The following is a 15,834-nucleotide window of genomic DNA, read 5'->3' on the forward strand; positions in this document are numbered from 1 at the left end:
CTTTCTCTCTCCCTTCCTGGAGCCAAGGTTTGCTTGCTGTGAAGTGGCAGCCGTGTGGTTATCCATCGTCTTGCCCTGCTTCCTATCAATTTCGTACTTCACTCCTCTGTTCCCTCATTCCTGCCCTGTGGAGCTTCAACCTCCAAATTAAAGCTTCAGCAATTAATTCCTTGCCGAAGGATATTTCCTAGTGAACCCAGGCAGCCTGGCTCCAGGATCTGCCCTACTCTACTCAGCAAACATTGAACCAGAGGATAGATGTGTGGGAATGTGAATAAATGAATAACTATCTGTGATATATTTATTTTTTATTTTTATTTTATTATTATTGCTTTTTTTTGAGATGGAGTCTTGCTGTGTTGCCCAGGCTGGAGTGCAGTGGCGCCATCTTGGCTCACTGCAACCTCCGCCTCCCGAGTTCAAGCAATTCTCCTGACTCAGTCTCCCAAGAAGCTGGGATTATAGGCATGCACCACCACATCCAGCTAATTTGGTATTTTTAGTAGAGACGGGATTTCCCCATTTTGGCCAGCCTGGTCTCGAACTCCTGACCTCAAGTGAACTGCCTGCCTCAGCCTCCCAAAGTGCTGGGATTACAAGCATGAGCCACCGCGTCCAGCCTTATTATTATTTTTAAAAATAACAATAGAGACGAAGTCTCTCTGTGTTGCCCAGGCTGGTCTATTATTATTTTTAAAGATAACAATAGAGGCGAAGTCTCTCTGTGTTGCCCAGGCTGGTCTACAACTCCTGGGCTCAAGTGAACCTCCTTCCTTGGCCTCCCAAAGTGCTGGGATTATAGGCATGAGCCACTGCACCAGCTTTATCTGTGATTTATGTATCATTACTATGGGGATGGGAGAGTTGATAGGGGGCCAGGATGGTGCCAAATTCATCAGAGATTATTCCCCTTGCTGTCTTCCCCTCCATTCACTACATTTAATCAGTCAAATACTCTCTGATCTTCTGCTGTATTTCAGAGGCTATGGCCTCCCCACTAACCTCTCTGCCTGGTATAAAAGAATCCATACTCCCTGATCCTCCACTGAGGTATGAGATGCTGGCAAGGTACTCTGCCTCCCTGAGTGGGTCTGCCTCCCTGAGTGGGTCTCCCAGTCTGAAAAATAGGATTAAGAATGTTCTCACTGCCTAGGACCTCTGCAGGGCTTAACTTAGTTTGTGCCTGGTGCATGAGTGTAGCGGGCATTGTTGGGGCTGCCTGTGCCTCACCATGTCTTCCAATAAGTCCCAGTTTTGGGGCCCAGTCTCAGTCCCTACTGAGTAAATGGTGCTGTCTTCTACACCCCCTTCCCAGGCCTGCCACCAGATCCAAGTTCAATCACCACATCCCAGGCTTTGACTCCAAGAATTGGCTCAGGCCTGGGCATGGGACTTAAGTCTGGCCAGGCACTGTAACAGTGCCCCAAAGGTTTGCTGGAACGATCAGGAAAGAGGTACTTGCTCTTTGCTGAGATCATTGGCTTGCAGCTGCCAGAGGCCATTTTTACTATTCGGCTGTTTGAGAATGAAGTCAGTAGAATGAAGTCAGAAGGAAGTGGAGCAAGAGCCAGCACAGGACGCAGAGTCCCGATGATGTCTTTGTAGCTCCTGGATCCAGCCAGGCCAGAAGCTAGTTAATCTCTGGTAATTTTAGGAATGAAGACATCAACATTTTCCTTTTTATTTGCTTAAGGCAGTTTGAGTTGTTTCTGTGACTTAAAACCGAAATGATCCTGACTAATACAGTAGGTTCCCTATGAATGATCGCTGTGGTTATTGCAACTAATATTAGAAACACATCGATGGGAAGATGCAACCACGGGGATGCATAGGCCAGGTTCCTTCAGGGGCCACCGCAGCTCTTCACACATCATGCCCGGGATATCAGGTCCCAGAGGGTGAGTTTTTTTCTCTTTGCTGCTGATGTATCCCAGGTGCCTGGCAGATGGCAGGTGATTGGTAAACATCTGTTGAATGAACAAATGCAGTGGGCCCATTGTCCATTGTCTGGTCCAGTGCGCCCTGCCTCCCAGTCCCCATGCCAGGGTACACACTTGCTCTCCACTTATCCTTAGCTGACCTCCGAAGCTAGGAGGAGGGGCTGCCAGGAGTCTATCTTGGCAAACTGATCTCTTGTTTTTACAATTTCACAATTTTCCTAGAAAGTATCCTTTCTAGGGCCTCATTCATCCCTTTATTCATATATTTGATTTAAAAAAATCTTTATGAATGAGTGTCCATTTTGTTAAGTACTAGAGAAAGATGCAAACGTGAATACTATTTTGCCTGCCTTCAGGGAGCACCTGTTCTAATGGGGATTACACTGACAATTTTGGTGTAGTCAGGTTATCTTAGGCATTTGGATAATTTTCTAGTATCCTACAGACCAGATAATGAAACAACTCTAAGAAGGACATTTTGGCTATAAGCTAAATTGAAATTAATGCACCTTAGCTAGTGTTGAAGAAAAAGCTGGCAATGTGGATGGGTGGCCCTGGGACCCTGGGAGGTAGATGTCTACCTCGTGCCAAGCTCTCAGCTTCCCAAGCCAATCTATAACAACTGCCGACTTGGAATCACTGTTGCATCATACTGATGGAGAAGTAGGCTCAGAGAAGTGAAGTAATTTCCCTGAGCAGAAATGGAATCCGAACCCATAATTGTGCTGTAGCAGGGACCGTCTGGTCCTTGGAATTCATAAGACGTCTCAGTGGGCAGTGGCTGATTGTCCATTAGCTCTCATAGAACCTCCTGTGGATGTTGTGGCTCTTTCCACATTCACCCTTGGATAACAGTGATTTGTTTCCTTGTCTACATCTCCCATCCCAACTCCCTAGAAGAGCTCCCGGTTGCAGTCATCTCCACAGCTGTCATACTTGTACCTTGTACCAGGGACAGGCCCATGGTAGAGTCCCAGTGTCATGAGCTTCTGTTGATTTTTGTCCCCAGCATCTGTTCTCTCTTTCTTCTAATAGTAGCACTCTCTTTGCTCAGAGAACTGCTTCCCTATCACTCTATCTGGTCCTGGAGCATTTTAGCCGTCCTGGTAACCCAGTGGTCACATGATCTTGGTGACCCAATCATGCCCAGGTTTGGTTCAGGGGCTGGACATGAGATCCAATCAGAGTCCTTTTCTGGAATATTTGGAATTTTCCCCTTGGATCATGAGCTGTTAAGAATCTGACTCCAGCCAGGCACGGTTACTCACGCCTGCAATCCCAGTACTTTGGGAGGCCAAGGCAGATCACCCGAGGTCAAGAGTTTGAGACCAGCCTGGCCAACATGGTGAAACCCTGTCACCACTAAAAATACAAAAATTAGCCAGGTGTGGTGGCGGGCCCTCTAATTCCAGCTACTCAGGAGGCTGAGGCAAGAGAATTGCTTGAACCCAGGAGGCGGAGGTTGCAGTGAGCTGAGATTGCGCCGTTGCACTCCAGCCTGGGTGACGAGAGCAAAACTCCATCTCAAAAAAAAAAAATTGAAAAATCTGATTCTAGAGCTACCAGTGGCTGTATGGTGGAGCCTGAGAGAATGAGGCCCTGAAGCAGTCAGCTGAGATTATTAGCCCCTCTGCCTTTCTGTGTCTGGCTTATATGAGGCAATAAACTCCATCCCTTTTTTACCTTATTATTATCAAAATATACAAGAGCATAGTAACAAATCAAATACACGTTGAATATCTCTTACCCAAAAGGTGTGGGAGTAGAAGTGTTTCAGATACTGGATTTTTTTTAAATTTTGGAATATTTGTATTATACTTACGGACTGAACATCACAAACCCGGAATCCAAAAATTTAAAATGCTCCAATGAGTATTTCCTTTGCGCATCATGTTGGCACTCAAGATGTTTCAGGTTTTGGAGCCTTTTGGATTTCGGATTTGTGGATTTGGAATGCTGCCCCTATAGCACAAAAGAGCTTATAAAGAAAATCCCCAGCCTTCTGCCCTATTCTCCCCGCTTTACCCCAGCTGTACTCCAGACACAAGCTGTTTCACACATTTCCTTTTGTATTTTTTTCTGTAGTTACCCCAGTTACTAGATCATATGCTTACACACCTATTTCTTGATTTATAACTTTAGACCAATAGCCATCAACTTTTCTGTAAGGTACATGAGGATTTAGCTTATTTACCCTCCTAACCCCCTCAACTTTGAAATGTATAGTACATGTAGGTCATCTACTGATGACCTATATCTAATAGTTTATTTCTGGCCGGGCACAGTGGCTCACACCTGTAAATCCCAGCACTTTGGGAGGCCGAGGCGGGCGGATCACTTGAGGTCAGGAGTTCAAGACCAGCCTGGCCAACATGGCGAAGTCCTGTCTCTACTAAAAAATACAAACATTAGCTGGGTGTGGTGGCACGCACCTGTAGTCCCAGCTACTCAGGAGGCTGAGGCAGGAGAATCGCTTGAACCTGGGAGGCAGAGCTTTCAGTGAGCCAAGATGGCGCCACTTCACTCCAGCCTGGGTGGCAGAGTGAGACTCTGTCTTAAAAAAAAAAAAGTCTATTTCTTTTGTTCAACTTTAGACAGTGTTTTTTGTCTTCCCACCCTTTTTAGAATAAGAATAAATATGGATGCCCTTACCATTTTATCTGCTTGTTCACACCCTATCTCTGCCAGCTATAATTTTTTTTTTTTTTTTTTTTGAGATGGAGTCTCACTCTGTCGCCCAGGCTTGGAGTGCAGTGGTGTGATCTCGGCTTACTGCAACTTTCACCTCCCAGGTTCACACCATTCTCCCGCCTTAGTCTCCCAAGTAGCTGGGACTACAGGTGCCCACCACTGTACACTGTACACCACTTGTACCTTGTACCACCAAGGTACAAGTATGACAGCTGTGGAGATGACTGCAACCGGGAGCTCTTATAGGGAGTTGGGATGCGTGGTTAATTTTGTTTTTCTATTTTTAGTAGAGACGGGGTTTCACTGTTAGCCAGGATGGTCTCGATCTCCTGACCTCATGATCTGCCCCTGCTTCGGCCTCCCAAAGTGCTGGGATTACAGGCGTGAGCCACGGCGCCCGGCTGTCAGGTATAATTTTTGTATTGTCTGTGTTATTGACATTCACATTCTCTTCTCCACAATGTTTGATTGATTGATTGATTGATACAGGGTCTTGTTCTGTCACCCAGGCTTGAGTGCAGTGGTATGATCTTGGCTCACTGCAAGCCTGGGCTCAAGCGATCCTCTCATCTCAGCCTCCTGAGTAGCTGAGATGACAGTCATGCACCACCATGTGTGGCTGATTTTTGTATTTTTTGTAGAGATTGGGTCTCCCTATGTTGCCCAGGCTAGTCTTGAACTCCTGGGCTCAAGTGATCCACCCACATCGTCCTCCCAAAGTGCTAGGATTACAGGTGTGAGCCACTGCACCCGGACTGGTTATTTTATTTATTATTATTTTATTTATTTATTTTTTTGAGACAGGGTCTTGCTCTGTCTCCCAGGCTGGAGTGCAGTGGTGCAGTCATAGCTCACTGCAGCCTTGACCTCCCAGGCTCAAGCAATCCTCCCACCTTAGCTCCCCTAGTAACTGAGACTACAGGTGTTCACCACCACGCCTGCTAGTTTTTTAATTTTCTGTAGAGACTGGGGTTTTACTATGCAAGCTATCCTCTTGCCTCAGCCTTCCAAAGCACTGGGATTACAGGGATGAGCCACCACGCCCAGCCTTCCACAATAAATGTTTATAGCTTTGTCAACAGGTCGACTCAAAAGATTCCCAAGAAACAACATTTACAGGACTATGATTATGAAACGCTGTTTACTGTAAACTCTTTTAGCCAAAGCTAGTTTGATTTGGGTTTGTGTTGGTTATGGCCAATGTGTCCTGACTTATACACTCAAGTTTTGTTGAGTCGAATGAGGTGTGTCCACATGCCTTCAAACACAAGCGGGGACAGAGCTCACCCCAGGCCACCTCTGTGGGCCTGCCACTCACGCAGTCACAACAGAGCCCACCACTAAAAGGGTTCTGTGCTTTGTTTATGCTTTCACCATGTTGAAATTCTTAATAATTTTGAACAAAAGGCCCCATAAAATATGTAGCTGGTTCTGAGCTCACCATTTGCTGGGAGAGGCCTGTGCTTTCTGAGAAATAGTCTCTCTCCTTGGCCAGGGCTATGCTCCTGGGAGGGCCCTTAGGCAGGTCCGGAAGCAGCCATAGAAAGTAAGAGGGAAAGGCTGTGAACCTGAGGGTTGACTTGGTGAATGGACCTCACATTGGGAGGTCAGACTGGGCTTCTCCAAGTCCCTCTTACAAAGAGGAAACTAACCTTGGTGAACCTGGGGCTGTGTCAAGGAGATGGGATTATCCCTACATTTACAGAGAAGCATCAGGGCTGAAAGATTTGCCCAAAGGCCACTGGTTATAAATGGCAGGTCCTAGATTCAAGTCCAGGCCTGATTCCTGCTCCACCGTGCAGCCTCCAGATCAGTGCTGCGCATGAAGCAGCAGACCTGGGTTTGAGTTCTTGCCCTGCTCCCAATTTGCTGTGTGTCCTTTAGTGAGGGACTTGCCCTCTCTGGCCCACTTACCCTAGCAGTCCTTTGAGAGAGCTGATCAACTACAAAAGTCCCTTTCAAACAGAATCACTATGTAACCAAATCATAGAGGAGAGGAAGTCTCTTTTATAGATGGATTCCAGCTAATAAATGCTGAATGATTGAAATATAATGTCATTCTGAAGTCCTTAATGAATTAATTGCTTGAAGCTTCCATGGCTGCTAACATCAGGAACAAATAATTGGACATTATGTGCCTCCTAATAGAAGAATTTGATGCCAGCTAAGGACATGGTCTTATGTGTGTGTGTGTGTGTGTGTATCTATCTATCTATCTATCTATCTATCTATCTATCTATCTATCTATAACTTGAATCTGATCAAGCCTCTACTTCCAACTGCCAACTTTTAGGAAAAACAGAGGATAGAGGAACATGTTGAACTACACCACAGGGGAGCAATCCACAAAACCCAGATGGAGGAAAATACCACAAGACAAACAACTCGTTTCCTCCAGTAAATAAATTGCAAGCAAAAACAAAACAAAAACCTTGCTGGGTGTGGCAGCTCACACCTGTAATCCCAGCACTTTGGGAGGCCAAGGTGGGTGGATCACCTGAGGTCAGGAGCTCGAGACCAGCCTGGCCAACATGGTGAAACCCCGTCTCTACTAAAAATACAAAAATTAGCCAGGCGTGGTGGTGGGTGCCTGTAATCCCAGCTACTCAGGAGACTGAGGCAGGAGAATCGCTTGAACCTGGAAGGCAGAGGTTGCAGTGAGCCGAGATCGCACCAATGCACTCCAGCCTGGGCAACAAGAGCAAAACTCTGTCTCAAAAACAAAACAAAGCAAAACCTCTAGACCCAAAAACACTCAGAGAATATACTGACGACTGTAATGTGTAGACCTCATTTGGATCAAAATCTAAACAAACTGTCAAAAAGCAACTGTGTGACAATTACAAATTGGAACATTGACCTGCTCTTTGATAATAATAGCAACTATTGTTAATTTGTTTGTTGTGATTATGGCGCTTTGTTTTTTGGAAGGAAGAGTTCTTTTGAAGATATACCCTGAAATATTTATGGATGAAATGATGTCATGCCTGAGATTTGCTTCAAAACTGGCCGAGTGCAGTGGCTCACACCTGGAATCGAGCACTTTGGGAGGCGGAGGTGGGTGGATCACTTGAGGTCAGGAGTTTGAGACCAGCCTGGCCAACATGGGAAAACCCCGTCTCTACTAAACATACAAAAATTAGCAGGATGTGCAGTGGTGTGCACCTGTAGTCCCAGCTACTCAGGAGGCTGAGTCAGGAGAATCGCTTGAACCCAGGAGGCAGAGGTTGCAGTGAGCTGAGATTACACCACTGCACTCCAGCCTGGGCGACAGAGTGAGACTTCATCTCAAAACACACACATACACACACACACACACAGCGAGGAGGGATGTGAATGGGAAGGTGGGTGGGTCTGGATGAGGCAGGATGGGTCATAGGTCGATGATTGTCACAGCTGAGTGGTGGGTATATCAGGGTTTGTTATACCATTGTCTCTTTGTGTGTGTGTATAATTTTCAGTTTCTAGCCCATCGTAAGGGCCTGAGGGTGGGAGTTCTGCGGATGGCTAGCCATGCCATCTCGGAGCAGGGGTGAGGGCATGACTTTGGGCACACCAGGCCTCGCCTCTCACACCAGGCCTCGCCTCTCTCTCCCCACCTGCCTTGGCCAGGCTGGGCCCTGGAGTGTTGTGCTCACTAGTGCCCAGGCTCAGATCTTTGTGTTTGGATAAGCTCATGGAACCAGACACTGTAATTGTAGAACTCTGGCCCTCACTCTGGTGACTGTGTGTGAGCCACAAGCCGGGCTCTCCCCTCCCCGGGCAGGCTGGCTCCACATTCCAGGCACATCATCGCCTACGCCAGGCCATCTGGCCTCCAGCATGGGTGGGGAAGGTGCAGCAGCTGGTGAGAGCTGTAGGGGCATTCCCAGACACATTTCTCATGACATCCTTGGCGCTGGTAGCATGGCCAGCACCAGGCCAGGATCTAAGGACCTGGAGGGTCAGAGGGCCACTGTCAGGCCCACCGCCCAGGAGTGCTCCATGAAAGGAGTGAGTACCAGCCACCTTGGTGCTGTGTGACCTTGGCAAGACGTCTCCCCTCCCTGGCCATGGGTTCCCCATTCAAGAGGAGGCAGCTCAGTATTTCTCAATAGGGTGCTATTGACCCTTTGGGAGGGACAGTTCTTCCTAGTGAGCATTCCTGGTCCCCAGTCCACTAAATGCCAGCAGCAGTCCCTGTCACTGTGGCAACCAAAAAATACCCTACACATTTCCAACCACCCTGGGCTTGCAGACCACTGTGGGTCTTTAAGGGCCTTGCCAAGCCCACAGTTCTGTATATCTGTGCTTCTTGAGCATTTAGGACAAATTGGGTAAGGGAGGAGTAGAAACCATTACTGTTGCTCATAGTCTTGCAAGGGGATGAAATCTGGATGGGTCTTGAAGTATAACTAGGAGTTTGCAAGGTGAGCAAGCAATGGGGACCAGGGGAGGGGAGCGAAACGAATTCTAGGTGGAAGGATCAGCTTGCATGCGGGCATGGAGATGGGAAAGAACATGGGGTATTTGGAGAAGTGCAGAAATTCCCTGTGGCCCCAAGGTTTGGCCTGGGCTGAGAAGCCATGCAGTGGAGGTAGGGCTTCAACTTGTAGATAACAGGGAACCAGCAAGGCTGTTTGTTGTTTGTTTGTTTGTTTTGTTGTTTGTTTTTGAGATGGAGTCTTGCTCTGTCACTTAGGCTGGAGTGCAGTGGCATGATCTCAGCTCACTGCAACCTCTGCCTCCTGGGTTCAAATGATTCTCCTGCCTCATCCTCCCGAGTAGATGGGATTACAGGTGCATGCCACCACACCCCACTAATTTTTATATTTGTAGTAGAGACGGGGTTTCACCATGTTGGCCAGGATGGTCTTGAACTCCTGACCTCAGGTGATCCACCCACCTTGGCCTTCCAAAGTGCTGGCCCCAGGTCTGACCCAGTGAGGCTTTTTAAATGGGGCAGAAACTTACTTCCCCTCCTCCTGAGCAAGAGCAGGTTTTTCCACCCCAGTCCCTCTGGACTGAGAAATTACCAACGCCTGGGTGTGAATCAGGAGAATGTCTCACTCCTCATGGCTCAGGACTGCAGAGAATGCAATCGCACAGCTGGGATTTGGGGAGAGATTTAGAGGTGACAGTGAGAGAGAGAGTGGGCTCCTCATGTTTGTTTTGTTTTATTTTGTTTTTGAGACAGGGTTTGCCTCTGTCACCTGGGCTGCTGGAGTGCAGTGGCAAAATCATAGTTTGCTATAGCCTTAGCCTTCCAGGTTCAAGTGATCCTCTCATGTAGCTGGGACCACAGGCGAACACCACCACACCTGGCTAATTTTTTGTATTTTTTGTAGAGATGGGGGTCTCACTATGTTGTCCAAGCTGGTCTCAAACTTCTGGGCTCGAGCAATCCATCTGCCTCAGCCTCCCAAAGTGCTGGGATTGCAGGCATGAGCCACTATGCACACTTCTTAAACTAGATGAGAACACCATGGAGGGGAGAGTGTGCCTATGGAGTGAGTGTGTGTGAGGAGTGCATGTAAGGGGTGTGCTCATGAGTGTGTGTGCCCCACACATGCAGGCTGCTCATTCATTCATTTAATACGTGCCAGTTGCACAGGGAAAGGTGAACACATCCTGACCTGGTCCTCGTCCTCATGGAGCGTGGAATCCAGTGGATCCAGTGGAGGAGAAAGAAACAAGAAAACAAAATAAAACACATCCCAAAAGCTAGAGTGCGAGGCAGCTAGGGCGGGAGTGGGGAATAATGAGGGCCGGTGGGGAGAGCCTGCTGGATAGGTGGGTGTCTGATGGCCCTCTCAGAGCAGAGCATGGATGGTGGGCATCTGCTGAGCCTGGACCACCCAACTCCCTTTCCTCACAGGCCTTTAGTTTCTTTTGGGGAGGAACTGCCTCTTCTCTGCTGGACAGAGTCTACCAGGCTCCCTCTGCCCTGCCCTGCCATAGGGTGGACATGTGACCCACCTAGCCAGTAAGATTGTCCACTCCTCTAATTCATGGGCAGAAGGACAAGGACAGTCAGAGTCTCCCGGCTGCCTCCTGCCACGCATTCCTGCTCCCCACCCCCAATCTATGCGCTTGCCCTTCCCGCCTTTTGGCCCTCAGGAGCTGTCTTGGTTCCTGCCCTTGCCCAGGCCTGTTTTTCCAGCCTTCCCACCAATTTTCTGAGCTCCTGTGGGTGTGCCTATCTTGTGTGGGTTTGGTTTTGGCTTTTAAATGAGCAAAGGCAGAATGAGGGTGCCATGAGCACAGATGAGGCTTTTGGGAAACGCCCCCCTTCCATTGCACTGTTGGAAGGGAGTGTAGAGGCTGCTGTGTTTCCTGGGGCCGGCCACCTTGACACCGTGCCTGCATGCACGCAGCCCCCCAGCACGCTTCTTCACCAGCCAGCCTGAGTGCAGGGCCCTGGCCAGCCTTGCCGGGAGGAAATGCCAGCCCCGTTTCTTTAAGCCTCAGTCAGCCTCCCCAGGGACTCTTGACTGCCCTAATGCTTCCTCCTAGGCCTTGTCAGTGGTGCAGGCCTGGTCTGCCCAGAGCAGCAGGGCCTCCGGCAGGGGCCTGTGACTCAGGGCTCAGTCAGGCGGAGGCAGGATGTCAGTGCCATTCACTGGGCCACGAGGAATCTCACTCTTCTATTTATAGGCAGCGCAACTGCTGGCCCAGCCTGGCCAGAGGAAGTGGCTGCCACTGCCAGCGAGTCAGGAGCTACGATGAGGGAGGCATGGCGCTGCTCCCTCTGCCTGCTGGGGGGGATTTCCAGGTTAGGACCAGCTCTTCCACTGCAGAATGGTCAAGGCTGGGACAGGCCGGAACAATGAGCTCATGTGGCTTCATGACCCATCAACTGAGCAACAGGGTGGTGGACATGGGGTGGCTTGGTCTGTCATGAGCCTAGAAGGGAGGGCAGGATGGGGACCTCCCTGACCCTGCAGGGGGAAGAGGTAAGGTAAAGGCAGTGCCCAGAGCCTGGCATCCTGAAGTTTGGCCCCAGACAACTCACCCCACTCTTCCTGCATTGGGGTCCCAACTTCATCTGTCAGAGACCCCTGTCCCCACCTGCCATCTTGCCCCACACCAAGACGGCTGCTTGTGCTTAGGAAGCTAACACTGGATACCTACTGAGAGGTGAGCCCTGTCACATCCATTCCTGCATCCAGTCTCACAACAGCTACACAACATAAGCCCATTTAGCAAAAGTCAAAACTGAGGTCGAGAGTGGTTAAGGCACTTGCCTGGTTTTGGGTGTGTGCACAAATGTGCCCTCTATGCATAAGTGTTGTAAAATGTGATCTACCTTCCCATCACAGAGGAGCTGTGAGGGGAACTGAGATGGCTTTGGCCATTGTGAATCTGTTGCCATCTCTGTTGGAGTGCCCGTCTACATGGTTGACCTCTGTCCTCAGTTGAGTGTGCATGAAGCATGAAGGATTCTTGTGTTTGTTTCCTGCCCTGGACAAGGTGTCCCTGGAGGTCAGGAAGGGAGTCTTGCTCCTCCTGTGACCCTAGACCCCAGCTTGGATGGAGCTTGGCACCAAGCAAGTGCTCAGTAGACTACCTACCGCATGGGCCCGCAGAGTCTCCCCATCCTCAGACGTGGCCTCTTGCAGGCAGCAGCCCTACTGGATGCTCTGCTGCATTGGGTCTGCACAAGGGGCAGGTACTCAAAGAATGAGGATGGGGGGACACTTCTTCCCGAGAGGCTGCCTGACGGGGAACCCCAGGCCTTCAGTCCTCATGTCAGGTGAGAACCAATTTCTTGAACAGGAGGCCTTTCCGACTGAGTCCGCTGGGGCCAGTTCAGAGGAGACCAGCCTGGGGCCACAGTGGATATTGCAGATCTGCCCTCCTGTGACTGCCGGCTGGTCTACCATGTGTGCTGCTACCAAGGGGCAGGTTACCCCTCTCACCCCACCTGGCCGTGTTCGCCCATCCTCACTGACCCTGAGGAAGCTGGGAGCACCTGGTGAGCCTTTACTGAAAGGCCCAGGCCATTGTTCCAAAGCCAGGCAGAATGGGAGGGAAGAAGGAGGTGGGGGAGGCAATTGGGGTTGATACAAGATGAGGTCTCCCTGCCTGGAGCTCCAGAGGGCCCCTTCTGGCCTCTTCTGCAGTCCTTGGCTCATCCCCTTCACCTCCTCCTACAGGAAGCCTTCCCTACCTCCCCAACCAAAGTTCTCACCCTTCCTTCCTACCCCACCACATCTCTTCCTAAGGTAATTGGCAAACCCCAGGGCCCTTCCTGAGTCTTGCAAAGTTTGCAGGTCTGGCAGTCTCTACATGTCAGTGGCTTTCCTTTTGTGGGCAGGACCCCCTGAGGGGGAGCACAGGAGGGAACGTGGTAGGGGAGGGGTTGGCTCTGAAGGGCTCCCCTGAGGAAGGGAGGATGAGTAGGAGTACAGTCAGTGTGAGCAGAAAAGGGGTCCCAAGGGATGAAGATCTCAAGGAGGGGAGGTAAAGCTTCGAGAATGTGCAAGGAGCTCCAGAGGGTGGAGGGGGGTAAAGCGTGGAGTCGCAGGGTGTGGGGGGAAGTATTCCAAGGCAGGAGATCGGGGGCAGATCTCGAGGGCCTCAGGGCAGGCCAAGCTTTCTTCTGAGCGCAAAATTAGAGTCAGTCAAGGGTCTCAGGCAGGGTGCTGCTTTGCAGGGTGCTGCTTTGCAGGCTGGGGTAAAGGTGGAGGAGATAGGGTGGCAGCAGGAGGGCCAGCTGAGGATGGGGCGGTCTTCCTGCTGAGAGATGACAGCAGCTGAACTTGGGGAGGTGGGGGCAGTGGAGTAAATGGGAGGCTGGGAGAGAACTGAGAACTCTGATGTGGCCTTGATGCCCCCTCCCCAAGGCCCACCCATACTGGTGAGGATTGGGGTGACCGGTGTGAGGAGAGGGAGAGCCCCTGATGAGGCCAGAGTCCAGGCCCAGAGAGACCCCGTCCGCTGTGCCACACATGACATCATTTTTGTGTACTTAACACAAGGTAAACAGGGCTGGAAAAACCCAAGTACTCATTATCTGACTTAGTGGCTGCTGCTGGCTCCTTAACAACTGGTTTCCTGGGATTCTGCAGTTCTCCTGCAGAACGGACCCAGACAGAGGGGCTTCCCTCCGGTGCACAGAGAATCCTTGCCCAGTCCCTGTGCTGGGGGCTCGCTGACCTCTTCCTTCTGGGAGGCTTTGAGTCGTTCCCTACCAGTTCATGGGGCTGGGCCTGCTGAGGGCCAGGCGCCAGGGTGGGCGTTGTGGGAGCATGACGGAGAGCAAAGCCCAAATGTGGTCAGGGGGGTTTGGTTCTAGTGAGCAGGTGGGTTTGAGACCCCAGGAGCACAGGAGGGCAGTGGGAGCCCAGCAGGGAGGTTGTGGTAAGCACCCAAGCATGAGCTGGCCGAGTCCTGGAATCCCAGAGGGCACCTAGGAGGTTATCCACTCTTTTCTTTTTTTTCTTTTTTCTGAGGCAGAGTGTCACTCTGTCACCCAGGGTGGAGTGCAGTGGCACAATCTCAGCTCACGGCAACCTCCGCCTCCAGGTTCAGGTGATTCTCCTGCCTCAGCCTCTCGAGTAGCTGAGATTACAAACGTACACCAGCACACCTAGCTAATTTTTGTATTTTTAGTCAGGGTATTTTGTATTTTAGAGATGGAGTTTCGCCATGTTGGCCTGGCTGGTCTTGAAGTCCCGTCCTCAGGTGATCCACGTGCCTCAGCCTCCCAAAGTGCTGGGGTTACAGGCGTGAGCCACCACACCCGGCCCATTTTGCCATTTGATTCTACAGATGGGTAAACTGAGGCCCAGAGGAGTCACAAGACTCACTTAGAGTCATACTGGGAGAGAACCAGTGGCAGGACTAAAACCCAGGTGTTCTGATGTCGGCGAGAAATTGGCTGGCTCTAGAAAGAAAAACAAATTTAAGCATTAATCCCCTCCCCACTTCCACTCACCACCCAAACATGCACACATGTCACTTCTGCAAAATGTCAATGATCTTGTGAGAAATTTTTTCTTAGTGGGTAGGTTCCAAGTGCTTTCCTTTCACCCCCAGAACCCACCCCCAATCGAGGCCAGAGGACAACATTCCTTCCTGTGGAAATAGCCGAAGGGTGGTTGGGCAGGGTGGCTCACACCTGTAATCCCAGCACTTTGGGAGACCGAGGCGGGTGAATCACTTGAGGTCAAGAGTTGGAGACCAGCCTGGCCAACATGATGAAACCCCGTCTCTACTGAGAATACAAAAATTGCTGGGCAGGCGTGGTGGCACACGCTTGTAATCCCAGCTACTTGGGAGGCTGAGGCGGGAGGATCGCTTGAGTCTGGGAGGCGAGGTTGTAGTGAGCTGAGATCACACTGTTGCACTCCAGCCTGAGCCACAGAGTGAGACTCCGTCTCAAAAAAAAAAAAAAAAAAATAGCCAAAGGGTGACCAACAGCCGCCAGGCAGCCTCAGAGGACCGATTGTTTGCCACTGCTCTACGTGGCAGCACTGGGTGCCTCTGGCCCCAGTCCACCCTCCCTACCCCACTCCAGTCCTCCATGTTCCCTGGATGGAGGCCCCAGCAAGGCAAGAAACTTTCAAAGAGCCCAGAGGCACAGCAAGTTCCTGCACTAATGACACTCGGGGGCTCTGGGGCCTTCACTTGCAAAGCAAACCCTGAAAAATAATCTGGTGGATTTTGTTCTCTGCCTTAAAGAACAGCAACCACAGACAACAACAATATTCCTCTTTTTCTAATGTCAGTTGAGTTTAACAGACAGGCAGCACGGAGGAAAGCTGGAAAACTAGCCCTGCAGCCTTGGACAGATCCTTAACTCCCCTTGGGCCTCAGTTTCCCCATTGGTATCGAACCCTAAGCATTCTTAAGCTTCACTAATCTGTGAGTTTGAATGACCAGTTAATATTAATGACCAAAGCCTGCTCACCCTAGGCCCCTACTTCTGCTCCCAGGGCCTTTATAAGAGGGAGGCAGGAGGGTCGGAGTCAGAGGCAGTGACATGGTGGCAGAAGCAGAGGGAGAGAAGGCAAGGGTCAGCGAGATGCAAGGAAAGGGTCAGGAGCCAAGGCGGCAGGTGGCTTCTAGAAGCTGGAAAAGGCAAGGAAACAGATTCTCCCCTAGAGTGTCCACAAGGAACACAGCACCGCCAGCACCTTGACATGAGGACTTCTTCTCCGGAACCAAGAGAGTAAACGTGCGTTGTATTAAGTTATGAAATTTACAGTTGTTTATG

At 50.3% G+C, this 15,834-nt stretch overlaps 5 annotated features.

Moving 5' to 3' along the window:
• Nucleotides 10,122–10,988: an enhancer, noted in NCBI's record as "H3K27ac-H3K4me1 hESC enhancer chr17:29922754-29923620 (GRCh37/hg19 assembly coordinates)". NCBI's record gives its function as "activates a minimal SCP1, AML or CMV promoter by ChIP-STARR-seq in primed H9 embryonic stem cells {active_cell/tissue: H9 hESC(primed)}" and the evidence as "EXISTENCE:reporter gene assay evidence [ECO:0000049][PMID:30033119]".
• Nucleotides 10,989–11,853: an enhancer, noted in NCBI's record as "H3K27ac-H3K4me1 hESC enhancer chr17:29923621-29924485 (GRCh37/hg19 assembly coordinates)". NCBI's record gives its function as "activates a minimal SCP1, AML or CMV promoter by ChIP-STARR-seq in primed H9 embryonic stem cells {active_cell/tissue: H9 hESC(primed)}" and the evidence as "EXISTENCE:reporter gene assay evidence [ECO:0000049][PMID:30033119]".
• Nucleotides 11,037–11,176: an enhancer, noted in NCBI's record as "active region_12018". NCBI's record gives its function as "activates an Ori minimal core promoter by ATAC-STARR-seq in GM12878 lymphoblastoid cells {active_cell/tissue: GM12878}" and the evidence as "EXISTENCE:reporter gene assay evidence [ECO:0000049][PMID:35858748]".
• Nucleotides 12,049–12,904: an enhancer, noted in NCBI's record as "H3K4me1 hESC enhancer chr17:29924681-29925536 (GRCh37/hg19 assembly coordinates)". NCBI's record gives its function as "activates a minimal SCP1, AML or CMV promoter by ChIP-STARR-seq in primed H9 embryonic stem cells {active_cell/tissue: H9 hESC(primed)}" and the evidence as "EXISTENCE:reporter gene assay evidence [ECO:0000049][PMID:30033119]".
• Nucleotides 12,905–13,759: an enhancer, noted in NCBI's record as "H3K4me1 hESC enhancer chr17:29925537-29926391 (GRCh37/hg19 assembly coordinates)". NCBI's record gives its function as "activates a minimal SCP1, AML or CMV promoter by ChIP-STARR-seq in primed H9 embryonic stem cells {active_cell/tissue: H9 hESC(primed)}" and the evidence as "EXISTENCE:reporter gene assay evidence [ECO:0000049][PMID:30033119]".

This window comes from Homo sapiens, chromosome 17, assembly GCF_000001405.40.
Source record: "Homo sapiens chromosome 17, GRCh38.p14 Primary Assembly".
NCBI classification, from domain to species: Eukaryota; Metazoa; Chordata; class Mammalia; order Primates; family Hominidae; genus Homo; species Homo sapiens.